Source organism: Homo sapiens, chromosome 15, assembly GCF_000001405.40.
Source record: "Homo sapiens chromosome 15, GRCh38.p14 Primary Assembly".
Classification (NCBI taxonomy): domain Eukaryota; kingdom Metazoa; phylum Chordata; class Mammalia; order Primates; family Hominidae; genus Homo; species Homo sapiens.
Window position 1 is genome coordinate 100,791,970 of NC_000015.10, and position 26,683 is coordinate 100,818,652.

Here is a 26,683-nt window from a genome sequence, read left to right on the forward strand (position 1 = left end):
TGAAATTGGAACACCAGTGCACTGTTGTAAGAGTGTAAAAGGTTCAGCTGCTGTGGCAGAGTATGGTGGTTCCTCAAAAAATTGAAAATAGACCAGGCGCAGTGGATCACACCTGTCATCCCAACACTTCGAGAGGCCAAGACGGGCAGATCACCTGAGGTCAGGAGTTTGAGACCAGCTTGACCAACATGGCAAAACCCCGTCTCTACTAAAAATACAAAAAATTAGCCAGGCGTGGTGGCAGGCGCCTGTAATCCTAGCTACTCGAGAGGCTGAGGCAGGAGAATTGCTTGAACCCAGGAGGTGGAGGCTGCAGTGAGCCGAGATTGTGCCACTGTACTCCAGCCTGGGCAACAAGAGTGAAACGCTGTCTCAAAAAAAAAAAAAATTGAAAAGAGATTTACCATATGATTCAGCAATTCCATGTTTGGGCATATACCCAGAGGAATTGAGAGCAGGGATTCCAACAGGTATTTGTACACCAGTTTTCATAGTCACATTATCCACAGTAGCCAAAAGATGGAAGCAACACAAGTGTCCATCGATGCATGAGCACATAAACAAAATGTGGTGTATACATACAGCAAGATATTCTTCAGCCTTAGAAAGGAAGGAAATTTGAACACATGCTACAGCGTGGATGCACCTTGAGGACACGGTACTAAGTGAAATAAGCTAGTCAGAAAAGGACAAATACTGTATGGTTCCACCTACATGAGATACCCAGAATAGTCAGATTTATAGAGACGGAAAATAGAATGCTGGTTACCAGGGCCTGAAGGGAGGAGGGAATAGAGATTTCTGTGGTGGGTGTAGAGTTTTACTTTGGCGAAATGAAACGAGTTCTGGAGTTGGGTTGCACAGCAATGTGAATGTTCTTAAAACTACCAAATTGTATACATAAAGTTCTATGTGATCTATATCTTATCACAAGTTTTAAACTGCAAATAATTTCTACAGAAAAAAAAATAGCTCCAAATTTCTAAATTTTAAAGATTAAAGAAGCTCAGTAAACTCCAAGAAGTACAAATACAAAGAAAACCAAGCCAGGGCACATCAGAGTCAAACTTCTGAAAACAAGTTTTTTATAGAAAGAATCTCAAAAGAAGCCAGAAAAAAAATACATATGGGTGAAAAACATTTGAGTTATCACTGACTTCTCATCAGAAACAATGGAGATGAGAAGTTATTTAAAAGCTTTGAAACAAAAAAACCATTAACTCAGAAGTTTATATACGGTGAAAATATCTTTCAAGAATAAAGATGAAATAAAAACATGCTTAGGTAAAAAGAAAATTAAGAGAATTTGTAGCCAGCAAACTTCAGTATAAGAAATGCTTAAAGAGGTTCCTGAGGCTGAAGGGAAATGATACTAAACAGAAAACTGGATCTTTAGGAAGGGAAGAATAACATAAGAAATAGTATATTTCTGGGTAAATATACTATTTCTCTTTTAATTTTTAAAAATATATAAAACTGTCAAAGGAAAAACAGAACAATGCCTTGAGAGGTAACATATGTAGAGGTAACACATATGATTACTATAGCATAAAAAACAGAGGAATGGGAAATGGTCCTATATGGCTGCAAGGTTTCTACACTTTAGGTAAATGGTGCAATATTAATAGGAAGTAAACTGTGGAGGGTTAGGAGTGTTATCCCCAAGACAAACATCTAAAAATGCAATGGTATAGTTAAAACCAATAGATATCCCTTGTGGCTGGTTTCACTGGCTGGCACTGAGTGCCTAAGGCTTTTCCAAGTGCATGGTGCAAGCTATCAGTGGATCTACCATTCTGGGGTTTGAAGGACGGTGGCCCTCTTCTCACAGCTCCACTAGGCAGTGCCTCAGTGGGGACTCTGTGTTGGGACTCCAACCCCACATTTCCCCTCTGCATTTCCCTAGTAGAGGTTCCCCATGAGGGTTCTGCCCCTGCAGCAGACTTCTGCCTGGACAATCAGGTGTTTCCATACATCTTCTGAAATCTAGGCAGAGGCACCCAAAGCTCAACTCTTGTTTTCTGTGCACCTGCAGGCCCAACACCATGTGGAAGGCTCAAAGGCTTGGGGCTTGCACACTCGGAAGCAATGGCCTGACCTGTACTGTGGCCCCTTTTAGCTACGGCTGGAGCTGAAGCAGCTGGGACACAGGGCACCAAGTCCCTATGTTGCACAAAGCAGCTGGGCCCTGGGCCTGGCCCATGAAACCATTTTTCCCTCCTAGACCTCTGGACCTGTGATGGGAGGGGCTGCCTTGAAGATCTCTGAAATGCCCTAGACACATTTTCCTTATTGTCTTGGCAATTAACATTCAGTTCCTCATTATTCATGAAAATTTCTGCAGCTAACTTGAAGTTCTCCCCAGAAAACGGGTTTTTCTTTTCTATCACATGGTCAGGCTGCAAATTTTCTAAACTTTTATTCTTTGCTTCCCCTTTAAACATAAGCTCCAATTTCAAACCATCTCTTTGTGAGCTCATATACCTGTACACTTCCAGGAAAAGCCCGTCACCTCTTGAATGCTTTGCTGCTTAGAAATTTCTTCTGCCAGATACCCTAAATCAACTCTCTCAAGTTCAAATTTCCACAGATCTCTAGGGCAGGGACAAAATGCCTCCAGTCTCTTTGCTAAAGCATATCAAGAGTGACCTTTGCTCCAGTTCCCAATAAGTTCCTCATCTCCATCTGAGACCACCTCAGCCTGGAATTTATTGTCCATATCACTATTAGCATTTTGGTCAAAACCATTCAACAAGTCTGTCCCAAACTTTCCCACATCTTCCTGTCTTCTGAGCCTTCCAAACTGTTCCAACCTCTGCCCATTACCAAGTTCCAAAGTCACTTCCACATTTTCAGGGATCTTTATAGCAGTACCCCATTCCTGGTACCAAAATCTGTATTAGGGATCTCCAGAGGGACAGAACTAATAGGATATATGTATATATGAAAGGGAGTTTATTAAGGAAAATTAACTCACATGATCACCAAGACGAAGTCCCACTTGCTGTCTGCAACCTGAGGAGCAAGGAAGCCAGTAGTGGCTCAATCTGAGTCCCAAAGCCTCAGAAGTAGGGAAGCTGACAGTGCCACCTTCAATCTGTGGCTGAAGGCCCAAGAGCCCCTGGCAAACCACTGGCATAAGTCCAAGAGGCCAAAGAACTCAGAGTCTGATGTTCAAGGGCAGGAGGCATCCAGCACGGGAGAAAGACGAAAGCCTGACAACTCAGCAAGCCAGTTTATTTCACCTTCTTCTGCCTGCTTTTTCTAGTTGCACTGGCAGCTGATGGAAAGGTACCCACCCACACTGACAGTGAGTGTTCCTTTCCCAGTCCACTGACTCAAATGTTAACTTCCTCTGGCAACATCCTTACCGACACACCCAGAAACAATACTTTGCATCCTTCAATCAAATCAAGTTGACACTTAATATTAACCATCACAGAATAGAACAAACATGACAATTAAAAGAATGATATTATCATTATGGATGAAAGAGCAAAACCCAACTATATGCTATCTATAAGAGGTACGACTTATATGTAATAAGACACACATAGGTTGAAAGTAAATGGATGAAAACATTTGTACCATGCTACCAGGAAGCAGAAGAAGACTGGAATGGCTACATTAATATCAGACAAAACTGACCATAAGACAAATAGTTTTACTGGAGATGAAGAAGGGTAAGTCATGATGATAAAAGGGTCAATTTATTAGATTCATCTATAAAAATTATAGATAAACATATGGCTAATAACAGAGCTTCAAAATACATGAAGCAAAAATTGACAGAATTAAAGAATCACACAGTTCCACAAAGTTAAAATTGTAAACATCGCTCTCTCAAGAATAGTCATAAAACCTAGTCCAAAACATCACTAAAGATATAGATGAACTGAATAATGCTATCAGCCACTCTAATCTAATTGATGTTTTAGGACAATATATCTAAAATTGCTGAATCTGTATTCTTAAGTTCACATAGTTTGCTTACCAAGATATACCATATGATAGGTTATTAAATAAACTAAATAAATTTACAAGGATTTAAATCACATAGACTACGTTCCCTGATAATTACAGAACTAACTTAGAAATCTATAAGAATAAAATATCTAGGAAAATCCCAAATATTTGGCAACAAATAACACACTTCTAAGTAATCTATGAGTAAAAAAAAAGTCACAATGAAAATTTAAAAATATTAAAACTGAATGATAGAAAATCAAAAACCCTACGCATTAAAATTAGGAATTTGAGTAAAGCAGAATTTAGATAAAAACATTACAGCTCAGAAACTTACATTATAAAATTAAAAAATCTTAAATCAATGACCTATGATTTCACCTTAAGAAGTTGGGGAAAAAAAGCAAAGTTGAGTAGAAAAAAAGAAACAATAAAGATACAGGCAGAAATCAACAAAATGGAAAATAATAGAGAAAAAATTAAAAACCAAAAGTTGGTTTTTTGAAAAGATTAAGAAAATTAATAAATGCTTAGCTAAACTGATGAGAGAGAGAGAGAGAACACAAATCACCAATATCAGGGGGATAGAAGAAGAAATATAATGAACAGTATTATGCCAAAAAATTTAACAACTTAGATGAAATAGACAAATTCTTAGAGAAACACCACTAACCAAAACTAATACAAGAGGAAACAAAAATTAGGAATAGTCCTATATTAAAGAAATTAAATTCCTCCAGTAAAGAAAATTCCAGGTCCAAATGTTTTCACTGATTAATTCTATTAAACATTTAAGAAATAATACCAATCTTATGTAAACTTATTCAGAAAACAGAGGAGGATGAAAAACATTCCAACCCATTTAGTGATACCAGCACAACCCTAATACCAAATAATAGCCTGACAAAAAGAAAAGAAAGGGAGGGAGGGAGGGAGGAAAGAAGGAAGAGAATTACGACTCTAGGTGCAAAAAAACTTAACAAAATACTAGTAAATGCCATCCAGCAATATATAAAAAGGATACTACTTCACTACGAAATAGTTTATACCAGCAATGCAGTTATTATTACTAACTAGTAATCTGCTAATAAGCAATAGTAATTACTATTACTAATTTGTTAATATTTGCTAATATTATTGCTATTTATCCTTGTATAGCCTATTGGATGTGTATATAAGGTAATAGACAAACTATCACTAATTAGTTTAGTAATAATGCAAGTGCTATTACTAATTACTGATTTGCTAATAAGTAATAGTAATTACTATTACTAATTGCTAATTTTACTAATATTGGCAAATACTATCCAGCAATATAAAATAAGAATACTATGGCTGGATGCGGTGGCTCATACCTGTAATCCCAGCACTTTGGGAGGCTGAGGCAGGTGGATCACGAGGTCAGGAGATCGAAACCATCCTGGCTAACATGATGAAACCCCATCTGTACTAAAAATACAAAAAATTAGCCTGGTGTGGTGGCACACGCCTATAGTACCAGCTACTCAGGAGGCTGAGGCAGGAGAATCACTTGAACCCAGGAGGCAGAGGTTGCAGTGAGCCGAGATCACGCCACTGCACTCCAGCCTGGGTGACAAAGCGATACTCCATCTCAAAAAAAAAAAATTAATTTGAAATGGACCATGAAGCTTTTAAAGGAAAATAGAATGTCTTCAGGACTTGGGCATAGGCAAAGGTTTCTCAGACAAAACAGAAAGCAATAACAATAAAAGAAAAAAAAACCTGATAAATTAGACTTCATCAAAATTAAATCTTCTGCTGATCAAAAGGCCCAGTGAGGAAAACGAATAGACAAGCCACAGAGTAAGATAACACATGCACATAACATATATCTGACAAAATAAAAAACTGGTACCCAGTATACTTAAAGTACTGCTACAACTTAATAATAGAAAGACAAACAAGCTAACAAAATGGGCAAATGTGAACAAAGAAATTCTATAATAGAAATACTAATGTCACACCAAATAAAGTTTAAAGCAACAGTATTAAAAGGGGTGAAGAAATACATTTTATACTGATAAAATAAACAATACACCCATCGAGAAAATAAATCCATATTATAGTAGATGTTAGCAAACTTCTCAAAAATGAAAACACCAACCAGGCAAAAAACAAAGAGGGATGTAGATAATGGAATAATTCAATTATAAACTTAATATTAACTTTGTATATAGAAAACAAAAAGCACACAGAACAGTTATGAAAATTGATCACATATTTGGCCACAAAGAAAGTCTCAACAAATTCCAAATAACCAACATCATACAGACTGCATTCTCTCTTCATGATACAATAAAATCAGGAATCAACAAAGAAAAAATTCACTGAAAACATTCCATGTTTGAAAACTAAAAGCTTTACTTTTCAATAATTTGTGGATTAAAAGGAAATCATAATGGAATTATCATTTTTCAATGAAATAAATATAAAAATACTACTTATCAAAAACTGTGGAATATATCCAAAACAATACTTAGAGGGAGACATATAGTTTTAATATATTTAGCAGAAAACAAGAAAGATTGAAAAAATTAGGCTTAGAATAAAAAAGGGGGCAAAAGTTAATGAAATACATGGATTGGGGGAGAGTAGGTACTAGAGATAATTCATAAAACCGAGGTTCTTTGAAAGAACTATTAAGATTTTAAATAAATCCTTTGACAGAATGAATCAATTGAAAAAGAAGGTACGAAACCCCAAATCTGGCAATTAAAAAGGGAAATAACTATAGATACTGAAAAAATGTTTTAGATCAAAGAAGATATTATGAACAACTATTTCATACACTTTTGAAAAACCAAAGAATATATAGAATATAAGCTGCCAAAGTAAACCAGTTGCAATCAAGAAAATCAGGTGGCAATCTACAACCTCACTCAGATTTTTTGGGTATATTTTTATCAAATTGCCAAAGAACAGATAATTCCTATTTTTATAAGTCCTTACAGATAATAAGAATTAAATAAGATAAAATACTTACATAACATATATCTTACAGATAAAAATAAATAAGTTTTTAATTTATTTTTTGTGTAAATATAATCTGTATTAAAATAAATGCAATGGTTCCTATAAGAAAGAAAAAGTACAGGTCACTTAGAAGTCTCTTAGAAATATAAATGTAAAAGTCCTACAGGAAATGTTAGGGATTCTAATCTGTAGTGTCCTAAAATAATAATTTGTCATGACTAAGTTAGGCTTACACTAGAAATGGAAAGATGGTTCTTTCATTAGGTATAATGTATGCATATTTCACCTCGTTAATATATTAAAGAAGAAAAGTCCAGGTGCAGAGGCTCACGCCTGTAATCCCAACACTTTGGGAGGCCAAGGTGGGCGGATCACGAGGTCAGGAGATGGAGACCATCCCGGCTAACATGGTGAAACCCCATCTCTACTAAAAATACAAAAAATTAGCCGGGCATGGTGGCGGGCGCCTGTAGTCCCAGCTACTCGGGAGGCTGAGGCAGGAGAATGGCGTGAACCTGGGAAGCAGAGCTTGCAGTGAGCCAAGATCGTGCCACTGCACTCCAGCCTGGGCGACAGAGCAAGACTCCATCTCAAAAAAAAAAAAAAAAAAAGAAGAAGAAGAAACATCTATGTACCTTTCGAAAGATACAGAAAAAGCACTCAATACAATTTAAAGCGCGTTCACAAGAAAACATGCACATCATAACCATAGAAGGAAATATCATGAAAATAATAATTGGCACTTATCAAAAATCTACTGCAGACAGCTTATGTAATAGTAAAACAACATATTTAATGTGGGAAAATGCCCATTATCACCACTACTATTGAATAGAGTACTAGAGATTCTAAACAATGCAACAAGACAAGAATAAGAATTAGAAAGGTAGACAAAATTGTAAGTAATTTATCATCATCCATATAAAAAAAGACAAGCAACTCAATGGATAAAATAATAGAATTAGTAAGACAGTGAGGAAGGGTATATGAATACAAAATAAAGTTATAAAAATTAACAATTATTCATTAAATATTCAATAAGAAACTAGTAATGTAACATTTAAAATGTCACATCTGCAAGACATATACATACACCCATATAAAATACACCTAACAAGAATGTGCAAACTTTATGGAGATTATTAGAAAACACTGAAAGACATAAAAAATTAAAATAAATAAATAGATATTTACTGTCTAGGCATAGAAAAATTCAACATTGTAGAGATCTAGTTACTTTACTTCCAAATTAATACATTAAGTGCAAATGCAATTAAGATTCTTTGATTCATCTTTGGAAACCGATTCCAAAATTTATATGAAACAATGAAGGAATTTGAAGAGCTAAATCAATTTTAAACACCATCATCAAAAACAACCTCTCTCTACCAGGCATTAGGCCATTTTGCAAAGCCAGAGTCATTAAAATAGTGCAGTACTGGTACAAAAACAGAGCAATGGAATACAATAACCACTCGACAGGCTAGGTAGGGCATTGGTCAGAATGTCGGGTTTGATAGACACAGCATCACAATGCCTGGGGGAAAAGAGCTCAGACACAAAAAGACAAATTCCAGGTGAATGCTGGCAGAGAAGGGACAGAGGGATTGGATCTGGAAGGAGATGTGGGAGCAAGATCAGTTTTTGTTTTTTATTTTTTTGTGTGTGTTGTTATTTTTAATGAGGAGAGGCTGTAGTGCAAAAAAGCCCCTGGGAAAGCGCAGAAGGGTCGTCTCTGGGGTAAGTTCCTGAAGAACTTTGGACTCTAAAGCAGAGGAGAAGAAGTGGAGGGATGTGGGAAAGGGTGGGCGAGTGTGCATACCTGGCCCAGGAAAAGGAGAGCATTTCTGTCTTTTTGCTCACCGCTGTTCCATGTAAATTTCCCTTGTGTACTGCGACCATCTGCAGGGTAAGATGGATGGCTAGAAATCAGAGACTCCATAGGAGGGTAGGGAAGCAGGAACCAAAGAAGCCGAGTGGTGGTGTTTCGAGGTTTGTTGTTGTTTTCAGCAGGGAGGCGAAAACCAAGGGCCACATCCACGGCCTTTGTGTCTGTGAAGGTTAAACTGGGGCAGCTTATCAGCAGCTGCCTCTGGATGAGGACACCGGGGAGTCATTGGCTGGAAAATAAGCCAAAAATGCTGCCAACAGAAGTCACCGTGTGGTCCATCAAACGTCCACCAGAATGAATGCATGGCAGCGTGTGCAGTGCAGCTCCACTCGCCTGGAGGTCCAGGTGAGGTGCACCCAGGGAGGGAAGGTGCCTTGGTAGGTTTGGTACAACGTGAGGTGAGACCTGCAAAGTGTGACTCCATGGAAGATCTAAGGTCTTAACTAGCCCTGCTTGTGCCTCTGCTTGTTTACTCTGTGTGCTAAAACCAGACAAATACACAGTGAACAGGGACTGAGTTGTACCCCGCCTTCACGCCCAAAGGGAGAACCAGCCACACTGGGCAGGTGTTCTGGGGGCCAGGACCAAATGGAACGGGGTTGTTAGTGGGAGGAGACCCGGGGAAGGTCTGTGACCCAGTGCAGTCACAGAGTGAAGCCAGGGAGTGAGCAAAAGCAAAACCAAGTCCTAGAACGCGCCCAAGGGTCAAAATCAGTATGACCTTTTCAGTGATGGGATCTGAAGCTGGAGAAGAGAAGGAAGGCAGGGGAGTGAGACGGGAACCATGTGGGAAGCACAAGGAGGCTTTGGGCTTTGCGCTGGACGAGGCCCCCCGGGGCTCCCTTCTGTGCATCTGGGAGCTGGGACAGGCCTGGGTGGGCCAAGGAGCGAGGCACGGCCTGGAGGGGCGCACATAGCGCCAAGTGAACTGAGAACTAGAGAAACAAATCATTCTGCAGACGAAAACCTGGGACCCGTGGAGCAAAATAAAAAAGAGCCAGTGGCTGCACAGTGTCCAGGAACAACAGCTATAAAACCTAAGCGTCTGTTAGGATTCAGAGTTAGTTTGGCAGAATCAACTGTGGTCCCTAGGGGGCTGCAGTGGGGTGGGGTGGGCTGTGAGCGTTGCTGGAATCCTCAGATGACGCCCCCAAACCAAGACTCCTGGATATACAGGGGACATAACTGTTCCCTGCGAGGCTGAGTGCTTTAGGCTCTGTTCATGCATTTCAGACGTTACATCTGGGCTGTAATAACTGCTGAAAAATTCCAGAATATTCTCAGCAAACAAAAGGTTCCTAGCCTTTAGAGCTGGACTGCTTCAGACCTGCAGGGGAGGTGCTGGTGCCCTGGAATAAGCTTCATTTTCTTTGACAAGAAACCCAGGCATCCTTGCATTTTATCTTGTCATGATCGCTGTCGGCAGATATAAAAAGCCTCCCCCAGGGAAGCGGCTTCGTACCTGTGAGGGGAACGGCCCAGGTGTGCGTGTGTCTCCTGCCACCCCCTTGCTCGGTGTTGGGTGTCTGCTGGTGCATACCTGTCCACAGCCTGCCTGAAACAAGCATGGCTCTGCAGCCTGGGGAATAATAACACAAGGGTGAGTCCTCTCTGCTTTCAGGTGCCTGGACCTTGGGGGCGCCCACCCCCCCGGGGGTAAGGGCTGTAAACATTGTTGGGCCATTCAGCCGGAAACCTGGGAGCAGGGCTCTGACAGGGCTCCAGGTGCCCCAGGTCCCTGTGGATGAAGATCAGACGGGGATCCCTTCCCCACGACACACAATCCCCCAGGCTTGTTTTCAGCCAGACAATCAGCCACTGTCCCCACCCGATGGGCCGCTCAGCTGCCTGCCCAGGCCCATGCCAGCAGTGGAGCTGGAATCTGGGTGCCTTTCCCAGCTTTGCCGTCTGCTGGGCTCAATTAGGGAGGGTGGTCTGGGCCTTGAGCGATGTCCTTGCGTGACTGGCCCCGCTGCCCTGGGCTCCTTCCACCACACATCAAAGGCAGCCAGGTTAGAACCCACTTCCCTTCAGTCACAGGCACAAGTTAAACAGTCTCAGGTGTCCTCAGATGCCCTCTTCTGCAAGTGTTTATTTTTGTGTTTATCCCCACAAATAGATTCCAGCACTTCCCATGACGCCCAAATAAGGCAGAGCAAGCAATGTCATGTACTGAACAACAACCAAGTAAAAAACAAAACAGCATCAAGGAAATAACTTACCTTTGAAGCCAACACCATGTGCACAGCTACAACAAGCCAGTCTCTGAACAGTGTGCTTTGAGCTGAATGGAAAGGTTCTTTTGTAGCCAGCACAGCTTGCGGTTGCAGCGAGCCATGCCTCTTTCTCTTGTGGTACTGTCATTTAATCATGGTGAAGCCTAGAGGCCATTTTGCCTGGGGTGGGAAGCAATAGATCAAAGGGATTTCAGCAGTCCAGGACATCCTCTGAATCCTCACTTGTATCTGGAAACAAACCCAAGAGAACAGGACAGGATGGTGGAATGGAATGTTGGCCTTGGGGTTAGAATAAGCCATCGCCAGCTGCGCTCAGGCTGGGCTTGCGGATGCCATGTAGGTACACACAGTGGCCCTAGCACCAATCCTGGGTATGGCCTGCTGGGGAGCACCTGTCAAGTGTGGCTGTCCCTGAACAGTGAGGCCAGAATCTCCCTGTCACCCGCACAAGCACGGAAGCAGGACAGCGCTCTCAAGGACCTGGCCACTCTCACTCCCTTGCCTACCACAAAAAAGGCCTATCGATTTCAGTAGGCAGTTCCCATCCTTGAGTTTAAGCCATTTAGGGCCATTTCTCCTAAGCAATTCCTAGAGCAGAGCTTTAAAAATACCTGCTGTGGTCTTCCTTAGGCTAACCACATGTGCAGGAGGGCTTGTGAGCTTGCAGCTTCCTGTGGCCTTCATGGTGTGGCCAGGGGACTTGTTTGTTCACTCTGGGTCACCAGGAGCTGAAGACACCCAGAGGTCACTAAGAGCCCCCAGGGCCAAGAGGCTTGCTTCCGCCACAGTGGGAGTTTATGAAGGACGTCAATTATTCAAGCTCCACTTATTCGGAGGCAGTGGGTCTTCTATGAATACAGACATTATGTTTATTTATAGGGACGGTAAACCAACCTGGAAAGTTCATCCTCTGGCTCTGGATGAGCTCGGGATATCAGGAAGGAAGGTATTGCTTCCTGTCAACTATTTAAACTCAAGTCCAACCAACCAGGGTTCTATGAATAAACACACAGGGACCTGTTAAACCGTAACTATGAGCTAAAGTGAGTTTATTCCTCCCCCGGCCGGTTATCAGATGTTCACTTCATGGTCTGTGGGGGACGTGGTAAACAGCCACCGGGGAGTTTCCTGCTCTTTTAATTGGAGGGGTTCTTGAAGCAGATGTCCAACGTGTAAGGAGACGTGGATGACAGCTCTGGGGCCTCTTGCTGTTGAAGCTGGAAGAACGGAGAAGGTCCAGTAGACTAGTGCAGTAGATAATCACTCCAGGGCCAACCCATGAGGTCTCAAATCTCCTACCTGAGCTGGCACCTTCCTTAGTTAACTACCTTTGGCATAATATGAAGAAATGTCAAATGCTGTGCATTGTTTTCAAGCCAGATTCCAACAATGCTTAGAAAGGTTCTTCGGAAGAAAGCTTTTCTCAGCCTTTTTTCTGAATTTTGCTTTCCAGAGCCTGACGCAAGGGCGAAAATTTCTTTATTTTCCCTCATTCCCACCCGTGCTTGTCAGGGCCAACACTGTACACTGGCTCACTTTGGGGAACTCTGGAAAACATACATCCTAACCCTTGTCTGAAAATAACTGGCAGCAAGGCTATAGGTAAAAGCGGAGCTTCTGTATTTTAGTTTTGAGATTTGATCGTTTTTCCATGGGAGTTGGTATGTTTTACAAGTAAACACACACAGAAACCCATGCAGAAGGAGGGGCATAGGGAGAGAGAGACAACTGACTACTTTTGACTGTGGCTTTGGGGCCTGAAGGGAAAAAACCCTACCCTTGATTTTTTGGAATTACACCAACCAAAATGAGGACCTACACTTAACTAATGTAACAAAGGGAGATATTTAGGAAAGAAAAAAAACATTTAATCAAAACTTAGTCACAGCAGCCTATAATGTAATATGATTTCCAGAGGCTCTTTGCTTTAAAAAATGAGGAAATTCAGAGTACACATTAAAAATAAAGTTTTTCTTTAAAAAGGGTTAATCCATTGTGCTTTTTTTTCAATTGAATGTCACCTCATTCTATAAGATTATTTTTAAATACTAAAAAAATTACAGGTTTAAAGAAGACATAACAATCCTAAATGTGTATGTTCCTAACAACAGGGCTTCAAAATACATAAAGTAAAACCAAATAGAACTGAAAGGAGAAATAGACAAATATACAGTTACAGTTGTGGATTTAAGCATTTCTCTCAGTAATCAAACAAATAGATGGAAAATCAGCAAGTATATAAAAGACATGAAGAACACCATCAACCAGCTCAACCTAATTGATATGTGTAGATACTTCACCCAACAAAAGCAGAATACACATTCTTTTCAAGTACATATAGAACATTTACAAAATAAGATCATATTCTAATTTTTTTAAGTTAAATTTAATTTTTTTTAAATTATTCAAGTATGGTTTATGGCCATAAAGGAATTAAACTAGAAATCAATATTAGAATAATGTCTGGAAAATCTTCAAATATTTGAAAATTAAATAATGTATTTCTAAATAATCCATAGGCCAACAAAGAAGTCTCAAGGGAAATTAAAAAATCTTTTGAAGTAAATAAAATGAAAATATAACATATAAAAATTTGTGGGATGGAGCTAAAGCAGTGTTTAGAGGAAAAGTTATGGTATATGAAATATATATTATAAAAGAAGAAAGGTCTCAAATCAATAATTTAAGCTTCCACTTCAATTAGCTAGAAAAAAGAGTAAAATAAACCTAAAGCTAGGAGGGCAGAAATAATAAAGATGAGAGCAGGAATCAACGACATTTAAGAGGTAAAAACAACAGATAAAATCAATAAAACCAAATTTGATTCTTTAAAAAAGTCAATAAAATTGATAAACCTATAGCCAGACTGACCAAGAAAAAAAGATGAAAGAAACAAATTGCCGACATCAGGGGGAAAAAGAAGGTATTCCTGATTGTTGTTCATAGTATCTGACACCTTTTAAATACATCAGAAGGATAATAAAGGGATACTATGAACAACTCTATGCTCATAAATTTAATAATTTAGATGATGAGCCAATTTCTTAAAAGCCACAAACTACCAAAATTAAATCAAGAAGAAATAAACTGTGTAAATAGTCTTATATATTTTTTAAAATTTGAACTCGCCATTAAAAACAAAACCAAAAAGGCAAACTCCAAGCCAGATGGTTTCATTGTGAATTTGGCCACACATTCAAATGAAAAATAACAGTGATACTTAACAAACCCATCCAGAAAATAGAAAAGGAGAGAACACTTCTTAACTTCTTTAGTAGGCCAATGTTACTGTCATACCAAAACTGAACTAAGACAAGCACAAGAAAAGAAAACCACAGACCAATACTCCTATGACTATAGACCCAAAAGTCCTCAATAAAATATTAGCAAATTGGATACAGCAATATTTTTTAAAAATCCATCATAATGAAGTGGAATTTATCCTAAATAAGAATGACTCAATATTTGAAGGTAATGAATGTGATTCACCACATTAATAGGCTGCATTAGTGAGTTATCCAGAGAAGCAGAACCAACAGAAATGGACAGAGGGAGAGGAAAAGGGAGAGGAAGGAGAGGGACGGGGAGAGGAGAGGGGGAGAGAGAGAGAGAAAGAGAGAGAAAGAGATTTCCTATGGGGAACTGATTTACATAAATTATGGAATGGAGGCTGGGAAATTCAAATCTGTAGTGTGGGCCAGTAGGCTTGAGACCTAGAAGAGCCAATGGGGCAGATGAGATTTAAAGGCAGACTGCTGAAAAATTTTACCTTGCTGGGGAGACCAGTCTTTTTTTTTTTTCATGCAGGCCTTCAACTAATTCAATGAGACCCACCCATGTTATGGAGGGCAGTCTTCTTTACCAACAGTAAATTGTTTTAAATAATCTCATCCAAAAACATCCTCAAAGTTGACACATAAAATGAACCGTCACAAGTTTACTTCTTGTCAACCTGGCATCTGAATGCATCTTCTTAGGATACAATTGTCTTGCACACAACTGAAAATGCACTAACTTCTTCCCCAGAAAAGAAAGCAAAGTCATTGGATGTTTACTCCTTTCCCTGATATCCAGTAATTTAAATGCTATGATATAAAGTTAATGATGGCAGCAGAGGCCCATCTGGAGCAGCTGCTGCCATCACTCTGGCTGCAACAGGGAGGCGTGGCCAGGGCTGCACACTCCGTGGAGCTGGCAGGAGCCAGGGACAAATGGGAACCCTGCCCCTTCTGAGTTGATGGAAAGGGAGCTCCCCAGGTGCAGCCGCAGCCACCCAAGTCATGGCTGCTGACCAGGGCCTCCTGCTTCATGGAGCAGGCAGAATCCCCACCCCACCAGGCAGAGCTGCAGCAACCCAAACCACAGTTGTGGACCCAGGCATCCCTGCACTCTTGGGGACTCCAGAAGTCTCCCCCTGCCCTTGCAGGCTTGGAAGTACCTTATCCTGCTGCCTGGCTTCTCCCTGTTGCCAGTGCCTGCACTGATCTCAGAGAAAAGTCAGGGCCAAGCCCGGACACTATCACAGCCCAGCCAGGTGTGCACACACTCAGGGCAGTGCTGACACACCAGCCACCTGCTGCCTAGGCCCCCTCCAGACTTTGGGCACTGTTGAGCATAGGAGGGAAGCCAAGGGGGCACTGAGGGCAGCTTGATGCTGGCCTGCAGGTGCCCATTGGCACCTACAGCACGGGCACCATGAATGTAGCAGGAGACACACAGGTTCCTGAGTGGAAGGGGGTAGGTGCCCAGTAAGGACTCACCTTCTGCCCAGGGAGGGCCTGAAGGCTGCAGGCTGGGCTTCGAGTCCCACAGACCAGAATGGAAACTTGTGGTGTGTTTTCCAGGCCAGCCCATGGCTGCCTGTGGACCAATTGGTGTGCACTTCCTCCCCTCTGAGGCCCATAAATGCCCTGGGCTCAGCCACAGCTGAGCAGACATCAGGACAACTGGCTGCAGAGAGGAGCTACCCACTGCAGGGCCTCCTCTGAGCTATTTTGTCACTCAGTAAAGCTCTTCTTCACCTTGCTCACCCTCCACTTGTCTGCATACCTCATTCTTCCTGGACACAGGGCAAGAACTCAGGACCTGCCACATGGCAGGACTGAAAAAGCTGTGACACAAACAGGGCTGAAACACACCCATTGCTTGCCACATTGTGGGTGAAGAGAAGGAGAGAAGAACTGTGGCCCTTCAGGGAGCCCAGACTTAGAAGCTCCCCAGGCCAGGGCTGTGACTCCCTCTCTGTGGCCTAGCAGCTCCTGGAGTCTCCAAGCTACCAGGTGCCACCACATTCCCCGGTGGCAGCCATGTAAGCTGCTTGCAGTGCACCTGGTCCAACTGCAGCCTCACAGAGAGCAAGGGCCTGTGCTGACCCCTGGAGCTGCCTGCCCTGCTGCAGTGGCCAGCATGACTGATTGTGTGCAGTGACTGGATCCCATGCTTATTTGCTCATACACCCCTCACCACTTGACACCTGGCTCACCCTTGGCAGGTATGGGATCCAGGCTGGTAGTGTGAGCCAAGCACAGCCTGCCAGGCTGAGTGGGCTGAATGAGCCCAGTGGGCCTGAACAAAACTCAGCCAAAAAGGTGCCACCAGCCACAGAGATTTCCAGCCAGAAAAGCAGCACCCCACGGATCTTGTAACATTAACAAACTTAAATACTGTGATCTGACATCAGTACATCTTATGGTATATAATAATGAGATTAGAGAGGGAAGAAAACAAAGATATTTGGTACATACATGCATATATACACACACAAACATGTTCATCAAAAATATGGAAGAAACAGTCATCACAATTATAGTTCTCATTTCTATAACTGGTCACGTGATCATAGCTGGCAATTAAAACTACCTTCCACTACCCACTTCATGTTCCCTTTGCCTTCAGCAGGTACTTCAGCAAGTAGGAGTTCTTTATCGAGTGTGGTACCCAAACCTTCATTCCTGAGGTGTCTGGACTGTTAGTAGCCCTGCCTGGATTGAGTTGTTCTAGTTTTTATTGACTTTGATCTCAAGGCTTGGTAATACTGAGATGCCCTAGGGGATCTCCTGTGCTCCAGACACATTCTTCTTTACCATCATTGTGGAGCAGTATCCAGTTTCCCTTGGTAGTCAGAATCAATCACCCCAGCCAGCACAGTAACTCTTTTTCCTCTTGATCCAGAGGCATGAGGAGTCCAAAATGCTCAGTTGGCAGTCCTAACTTCCAATTCAGTGGAATCAGTGTTGTGTCTCTTGGCAGAAGCATTTTTTCCTTTGGTACTAAGACCTCTAGGCCAGGGGGATATGAAGTTGTGGAACAGGAAGCAAACATTTTGCTAGTGAGTCACTAGGGATGGTAGTGAATGGTGTCACTCCTATTTTCACCCCTTGATTCCTGGACCTTTGATTCCTGGATCTTTGATGAGTAGAAGTTCATCCTGGCTATGGGAGAAACAGCACCATATATTGGATACTTCAGAGCATATACAGCCTTGTAAATAACTTTCCCCAGACCTGGAAGGTATTGTCACGTAGATGAAACTGTTGCTGAGTTTTCCAATGCCAATTCCACTATTCTATCAAGCCAGGTGCTTCAGGATGGTGTGGAACATGGAAAGACCAATGATGTCCAGGGGCATAGGTCTATTATCACACTTTATTTGCTGCAAAGTGAATTCCTTGACCAGACACAATGCTGTGTGGAATACCATGACAATGGATAAGGCATTCCATAAATCTGAGTAGTAGTCTTGGCAGAAACATTGCGTGCATGATAGGCAAATCTGTATCTAGAATATATATTCTGGTAAGAATAAAATGCTGCTTCTCCCATGAGAGAAACAGTCCGGTATAATCAACCTGCCACCTGGTAGCTGACTGAACACCGCAGGGAATGATGCCATGGTGGAGATTCAGAGCTGGTCTCTGCTGTTAGCAGATTGGGTGCTCAGTGGTGTCTGTAGTCAGGTCATCTTTGATGAGTAGAAGTTCATGTTACTGAGGCCAGGCATAACCTCCACCATGGCTACTTTTTTTATGAGTTCACTGGGAAATAACAGAAGTCCCTGGGGAAAGAGGCTAATTGATATCCACAGAGCAGGTCATCCTATCCATTTAATTATTAAAGTCCACCTCTACTGAGGTCACCCTTTGGTGGCATTGACATAGGATACAAATATCTTCATCTTTTTTTTGCCCATGCAGAGAGGTCTATCCACATACCTCTTCCTTGTGACCAATTTTCCAATCATGTTTCTTACGTGTCCTTGACTATCCAGCCGAACTACTGGCCACAGCCCATGACTCAGTATATAGTTACATGTCTAGCCTTTTCCCCTTTCAAGCAAAGTGCATAACCAGGTGTATTGTTCAAATTTCTGCTGACTGGGAGGATTTCCATTCACCACTGTCCTTTAGGGATGTCCCAGAAAGGGGCTGTAGTGCTGCAGGTGCTCACATTTAGGTGGTGCCTGCATATCACATAAACAAGGCCAGTGCTTTCTCTTCCTCTGTCAATTGATCATAGGGAACTCCCCATGAGGTCATAGGTGCAGACTGGGAGACAGAAGGCAGTATGGCAGGAGTGGGGACCATGGGCATTTGGGCCACTTCTTCGTGTAGCTTATTTGTGCCTTCTGGGCCCACATGAACCCAATCTTGTATATAGCACCCTCATTTGATGATGAAGTCCTGCTGTGTATGCCCAACTTTATGGGTTAGGGGTCATACGCCACCTAGTTCATGATGGGCAGCTCAAATTGTATGGGAATTTGATGGTCCATAATTAGGCATTCAGTCATTACTGAGGCCCAGTAGCAGGCCAAGAGCTGTTTCTCAAAGGAGTAGTTATTTGCAGAGGATAGCAAGGCTTTGCCCCAAAATCCTAACCATCTATTCCTGTGATTCATCTCCAGGGGCCTGCCAAATGCTCCAAACAGCATCTCCATCTGCCACTGATACTTCAAGAACCACTGGATCTGCTGGGTCATATGGTCTAAGTGACAGAGCGGCTTGCACAACAGCCTGAACCTGTTGCAGAGCATTCTCTTATTCTGGGCCCCACTCAAAACAAGCAGCTTTTGGAGTTATTCAGTCACTCAGTGAATGGATCAGATTAGCAAACCCAGATGAGGAATATATTGCCTCCAAAATCCAGAGAGGCGCACTAGGCATTGTGCCTTTTTGTTGATATTGTTGCAGGAGAGGCCAGATTCAACAACTTATCCTTCATTTTAGAACTAATATATTGGAATGCCCCACTCTACCAGATCCCTAGAAATGTCACTGAGGTAGAAGGCCCCCGAATTTTTTTTTTTTTTTTTTGAGATGGAGTCTCACTCTGTCGCCCAGGCTGGAGTACAGTGGCCTAATCTTGGCTCACTGCAAGCTCCGCCTCCCGGGTTCAAGCCATTCTCCTGCCTCAGCCTCCTGAGTAACTGGGACTACAGGTGCCCGCCACCACGCACAGCTAATGTTTTGTATTTTTAGTAGAGACGGGGTTTCACCATGTTAGCCAGGATGGTCTTGATCTCCTGACCTCATGATCTGCCTGCCTCAGCCTCCCAAAGTGCTGGGATTACAGGCGTAAGCCACCGCACCTGGCCGGCCCCTGAATTTTTATTGGATTTATTTCTTACCTCCTGGCATGTAAATGTCTTTTCAATAAATCTAGAGTAGTTACACTTCTTGCTCACTAGGTCCAGTCGGTGTAATGTCATCAAGGTAATGCACCAGTATGATACCTTGTGGAAGGGAAACACAGTCAAGATCCTGTGAACTAAATTATAACACAGGACTTGAGAGTTGATATAGCCCTGAGGTAGGACAGTGAAGATGTATTGCTGGCTTTGCTAGCTGAAAGCAAACTGCTTCTGGTGGAAAGCATTTGCCAGATAAATAGCTGGTACAAGGTACCAGGGGTTGTGTTCATTTGCTCAAGCTGTGAAACTCCATCTTATATAGCAGCTAAAATTAGACTCACCCCCTGATGAAGCTTATAATAATCCACCATTATTCTCCAAGATCCATCTGTCTTCTGTGCAGGCCAAATAGGCAAGTTGAATGGGGATATGGTGGGAATCACCATCTCTGCATCTTCCAGGTCCTTGACGGTGGCACCAATCTGTGCAATCCTTCCAGGGATATAGACACAGTATTGTTTTTGATTAACTATTTTTCTATGTGGAGGAAGCTCTAATGGCTTCCAATTGGCCTTTTCCACCATATTAGCCCTCATATCATAGGTCAGGTGAGCAATGTAAGGATTCTGCCTGTGACCGAGTATGTCTACTCCAATTATGCATTCTGGAACTGGAGAAATAGCCCAAGATGGGTTCTGAGGCTCGCTGAATCCACTGTGAAACTCAGCTGAGCTGAAACTCCATTGATCACCTGACTTCCATAAGTCCCTACTTTGACTGGTGGGCCTCAATGATGTTTTGGGTCTCCTGGCATTGGTGATATCAGCTCAGCACCAGTGTCCAGTAGTCCCCTAGAGGTCTGATTATTTTCTTTTTCCCAATGCACAGTTACCCTGGTAAAAGGCCATAGGTCTCTTTTGGAAAGTTGGGAGAAAGATTAATAGTATAAATTTGGGGGAATTGGCTCAAGGAGTTCAAGGGTCGATAAACTGGCTCAAGTCTGGGAATTGATTGAGGGGCCAAGATTCTCTGTTTTTGTGATTCAGCTTAGACTTTTGGTTACTTGACCTAGAACTTTTATGCTTATACAGATGAAGTAAGAATTTATTTTGCTCCTTGTCTATTTCACTTCTGGGAACGCCATGGTCAACTGTTAACCAACACATAAGTCTACTTACAACATAAATCTACTTATGGTATTGGTTAGCAGCTGACCATGGTGTTCCTAGAAGTGAAATAGACTATTCTGATTGCTGCTGTGACTTTGCTGTTCATCATGATAACCACATCCTCCTTGCCTGTGGCAGCTGAATATATACCTTGTCCCCTGCCACCCTGAGATCCAGTTACTCCATTTGATGTAGGTTTCCCAATCAGTGACCACAGTTCCCACTGTAAGGTCTGGCCTACAAAGAAGAGTGATCACAGAGCTCTTCAAAGACACTTGGGCTCTCCTCATAAATTTACTTCTCACAGTCATGGTGAAAGGTATATGTTTTGGACCGTTTCAGGGTCTGTGAGCAGGCCTTACATGACAAATTTATTCTAACGTTCCAATCTCTCTAAGCCTTTGAGTATAGCAAGACAGTTCTGGTATTTCTAGCTCACTCACTCTGGGCCACCTTTTAGTCCTCATTTTAGCCAACCAACCAACCAAACTTTAAAGCCCTTTCTAACTCCCTGAGCTGAAATATTAAATGCAGAATCTCTTCTTAGTGGGCCCATATCAATAAATTTGTCCTCATCCAACTTTATGTTCCTTCAAGCATTATCCCACAACCTTAATGTCTGTTTCCATACATATGCCCCAGATTCCTGTTTGTGTAAATTAGAAAACTCAAGTAGCTCCTTTAAAGTGTAGCACATCTCATGAGTCATACTCCATACCCTACCTTTAGGATCCTATTGGGGCTTAAGTCTAGTTACAGGTTTAGAAACAAAGAAGTGTCTTGGGGGTGGACCCTGAGGACAATCTGCCTTGTCTTGCAGGGCAACTGCCTCGAGGCAGCCATTGCAACTTCCTTAAACAAGACAGGGTTAATTTCCTCTCACTGGGGTGGAGAGGCTTCTCATACTGGGGACAGAAAGACTCCTTCTACTGACAAAGAAGTCTGATCAAAATTTAGGGTCTCAATGTCCTCAGCTTCATCAGGGTCCCATTTCAACTTTCTACACATCCCATTTCAAATTTAGGATCTAGTTCCTTTCCAATCGATGCCTCATTTAGCAGTGGACACTCTGCAAGGCTTGGAATTCAATTTACATTGTAAGTCAGCCTCTTGCAGGATGAGATTCTGGGTTTGGTTTTCAGCAATCTCAGCTCTGAGGCTACAGGAGATAATGGTCTCTTTCAGGGCAGACATAGAAGCTCTTAGGTCATTAATTCAGCATTTGTGCTGGAAACTAATATCCCTGAGCTTAACTTTTTATTTCCCCACTTCTTTGTCTAGCAACATTAGCTCCAACCAGCCAATGTCATTACACTTCTAGTGTGACAAAAATGTTGGAAAGTATTATATACACACTCAGATCCTTGCTTCTTATAAGTGTTTGGTTAGGAGTATTGAAGGATGATATTTTGCCTATCTCTGTTACCAGATCACTCCATGACCTAACAGTGCTCTCTTTACACATGCATACATGTGTAAAGAGATTTATTATAAAGAATTGGCTCATGAGATTATAGAGACTGGCAAGTCCAAAATCTGCAGTGTGGGCTGGCAGGCTTGAGATAGAGCAGAGGTCCATCTTAGGGGCCTGCAGGCATAGAAATTAAAGGAAATCTTGAGTTCCTTCAAGGGAAATTTCAGGCACCAACCCAGCCCTGAGAAGTAAATGAGTAACTTGATAAACAAGCAGGTAATAGTAGCTTAAAACAATAGTCAAGGAAGTTAGAGTCATAGGATATTTGACTACAGATAACATCTTAACGTATGTCCCTAAGTGCTTTTTTGGAAATCTGGACCTCCACTAAATGAATCCACTGGCACATAGACCTCTCAGATAAGGGGGAATGGAGGACTAAACTCTGACCACTGTTCTTTGTTCTGAAGTTCTTCCTGAAGTGCTGGGAGGAAGTCACACAAGTCAGACTTAGCATATCTTTCTACTCCCCTCAAATTTTTAAACAAAGCTTCTCTTCCTTAACCAATTGCAAATCAGAAAAATTTTGAAGCTATTACCTAGAAGCCCTCACTTCAAGATATCCCCACTTTGTAGGCCAAACCATTGTATAACCTCCATATATTGCTTTACAATTTTGCCTGTAACTTCTGCTTTCCTGAAATTTATCCCCACCTTTAAAAATTCTTGCTTGCAAGCCACTGGATAGGTTGTGTCTTAAGCGTGAGCTGCCCAATTCTCCTTGCCTGGTGTCCTATAAATAAATGTTCTTCTTTCTCCTGCTGCAAATCTCAGTGTGGGTGTTTGCCCTTACTGTGCTGAGAGAGTGGACCCCAGTTCAGTTCTGTAACAGGCTCAAGATACAGGAGAGCCAGTGGTGCAGTTCCAGTCTGAAGGCCAGCAGGCAAGACTCAGAAGAGCCACTGGTGCGGATGAAGTCTGATGGCCATCTGCCAGAGAATTTTCTCTTGTTCAGGGAGGCTGATCTTTTTGTTCTATTTAAACTTTCAACTGATTGGATGAGGCCCACTCACATTATTGAGGGCAATCTTCTTTACCCAAAATTTACTGATTTAAATGTTAAACTCATCCCAAAATAACCTGCAAGTGGACAAATAAAATTAACCACTACACAGACTTAACAGTAACAAAATGCTATGATCATATCAATAGATGGAGAAAAAACACTGCTGGATAGAATTCAACATTTATGCATAATTTTTTTAAACCTAGGCAAACTAAGAATAGTAATGAAGTTCCTCAATCTGATAAAAGGCATATACTAGACAACCTACAGCTAACATCATTCTTAACAGTCAAAGACTGAATACTTTCTAAGTCTGGGAACTAGGCAAGGATATCTGCCTTCACTACTCCTATTTGATGGCATATTAAAATGCTCGCAAATGCAATAAGGCAAGAAAAAGAAATAATAGGCATCCAGATTTGAAAGAAAAATGTTACTACCTTTATTAAGAGATGATATGATTGTCTATATAGAAAATTCACTTTAAAAAATTTCTAGAACTAGTGTGTTGAACAAGGTCATACCACTGTGAGACCAAAGAAAATGACTGAGGTGAGCCTCAATCAATTTAGAGGTTTATTTTGCTGGGAAAAGGAGATGCAAGCCACAGTAGGATCTGTGGCCCAAACTTTTTCCAAAGAAGCTTTTGAGGGCTTCAATATTTAAAAGGGAAAATGTGAGCAGCAGGGGAAAGGGGAAAGAAAAAAACAGAGGGAGTGTATGGCCACATTCTTGTGAGGCTTTGATTAGTCTCACTGAATCCACATGTTGTGCATGGAAAGGAAGGAGCGTAAAGGGAACAGCCAATTATGTATTCATCTTGCACTTGGGAAACCTACACTTAACATAAGATAAACACAGAGTAGAGGTAAAAATCAAATATGTATTCATGTTAGGGTGGGTTGGGGGATGATTTCTAGTCTCCTATTTTCCTGTACTAGTAAAAATAACCTGTTAATTTACATCGTCAGGATGAGAGAGGCCACCTGTGGAGACATTTGACCTTCTATCTGTAGTTATATTTTTAGTAAAAAAAGAAAAGACAGCTTTTATTTGGGTAACTCACTTCCAAACTTAATTTTTCTCTTTGACATAGGGAGTTTTGGGTCCCAATATTTTATTTTCCTGTCACAGAACATAATATCAATAAACAAAATCAATTGCATTTCTTTATACTAACACTGGGCAGTTGGAAACTGATATTTTAAAAGCATTTACAATAGCCTTCAAAATGAAGTACTTAGGTATAAGTAAATTTGTCAAAATATGTGCAGCTTTTACATGCTGAAAAATCCAGAACACCAGTGAAAGAGATCGAAGAAGTCTAAATAGAGTGACATACCATGTTCACAGAGATTGGAAGGCTTACTTAAGATGTCAATAAATCCCAAAATTGATTTATAGATTTAGCACATTCCCAGTTAAAATATCAGCAAGATCCTTTGTACATATAGACAACTTATTCTAAAATGTGTATGGATGGGTTAAGGAACTAGAATAGCCAAAATCTTTAAAAAGAAGAACAAAGTTCAAGGACTCATATTACCTAATTTTAAAACATACGATAAAACTCCAGTAGTCAATACAGTGTAGTATTGGCAAATGAATAGATATGTGCATACGTGAAACAGAACAGAAACTCAAAAAATAGGTTCACAAAAATACGGCCAACTGAATTTTGACAAAGGTGCAAAGGCAGTTAGGTGAAGAAATAACAAACTTTTCTCTAAATGGTCCTAGAACAACTGAATACCATATGTAAAAAATAAATAAATAAGCCTTAACCTACACCCCACAGAATATTTAAAAATTTACTCAAATAGCATCGTAGACCTACATGTAAAACATAAAACTAGCCTGTTAGGAACTGGGCTGCACAGCAGGAGGTGAGTGGCAGGCCAGCAAGCATTACCATCTGAGCTCTGCTCCTGTCAGATCAGCGGTGGCATTAGATTCTCACGGGAGCTTGGAACCCATTGTGAACTGCACATGCAAGGGATCTAGGTTGCATGCTCCTTATAAGAATCTAATGCCTGATGATCTGAGGTGGAACAGTGTCATCCTGAAACCATCTCCTCTGTCAGTCCATGGAAACAATTATCTTTGACAAAACTGGTCCCTGGTGCCAAAAATGTTGGGGACTGCTGAGACAAAGGATTGTATCCAGAATGTACTCTACTCAATTAAAAAAAAAAAAAACTTTTAAGGAGCAAAACATTTTAACAGACACTTCACCAAAAGATATATGGATAGCAAATAAACTCATGAACAGATACTCAGTACCATTAGCTATTAAGGAAGTGCATATTAAAGCTACAATGACACACCATTACATGCCTATTAAAATGGCAAAATTTTAAAAAAAGAACTCAATACCAAGTGTTGGTGAGGATGAGGAGCAACTGGAGCTCTCATGCATACATTTGTTGATGGGAATACAAAATGATACAATCACTCTGGAAAATAGTTGAGCAGTTGTTGTAAAGTTAACCATAAACTTACAATATGACCCAGCAATCACACTCTTAGGTATTTACTATAGAGAAATGAAAACTTACATTCACACAATAATTAGTTCATGAATGTTTATACCAACATTATTTATAATTGCCAGAAAAGTGGAAATGATCCCAATATGTCTCAGTGGGTAAATAGGCAAACAAACTTGTATATCCATACAACAGAAAACTACTCAGCAATGAAAAGGAACTAATTCTTTTTTTTTTTTTTTTTTTTTTTTTGAGACAGAGTCTTGTTTTCATTGCCCAGGCTGGAGTGCAGTGGTGTGATCTTGGCTCACTGCAACCTCTGCCTCTTGGATTCAATAGGTTCTCCTGCCTCAGCCTCCTGAGTAGCTGGGATTACAGGCACGTGCTATTACACCCAGCTGATTTTTGTACTTTTTATAGAGATTGGGTTTCACCATTTTGGCCAGCTGGTCTCTAACTTCTGACCTCACGTGATCCACCCGCCTCAGCCTCCCAAAGTGCTGGTATTATAGGTGTGAGCCACCATGTCCGGCCAGAACAAACTCTTGATACACACAATGACTTGGATGAATTGCAAAGGCATTGTGGTTAGAAGTCATGCTTAAAGTTACCTGTTACATGATTCCATTTATATGACATTCTGGAAAAGGAAAACTTAGTGATGGAGAACACATTAAGTGATTGTCAGGGGTTAAGTGTGGAAGGAGGGATTGACTTCAAAGGGAAAACCCAAAGGACACATCCTTTGGGATACTGGACTTGTTTTGAATCCTATATGTGGTGGTGGTTACAAGAATCTATGCGTATGTAAAAACTCACAGAATTGTT

The 26,683-nt window shown here is 41.3% G+C and overlaps 1 long non-coding RNA gene across 2 annotated transcripts in view, besides 1 other annotated feature; it reads left to right on the forward strand.

The window, feature by feature from the left end:
• The window catches only part of LOC105371024 (uncharacterized), a 116,308-nt gene that overhangs the window by 75,911 nt on the left and 13,714 nt on the right, over positions 1-26,683 (forward strand). The window lies entirely within an intron of this gene.
• Positions 10,254-11,453: an enhancer, noted in NCBI's record as "BRD4-independent group 4 enhancer chr15:101342428-101343627 (GRCh37/hg19 assembly coordinates)". NCBI's record gives its function as "activates an origin of replication core promoter dependent on BRD2, P300/CBP, MED14 and CDK7 cofactors, and independent of BRD4, by STARR-seq in HCT116 cells {active_cell/tissue: HCT116}" and the evidence as "EXISTENCE:reporter gene assay evidence [ECO:0000049][PMID:35650434]".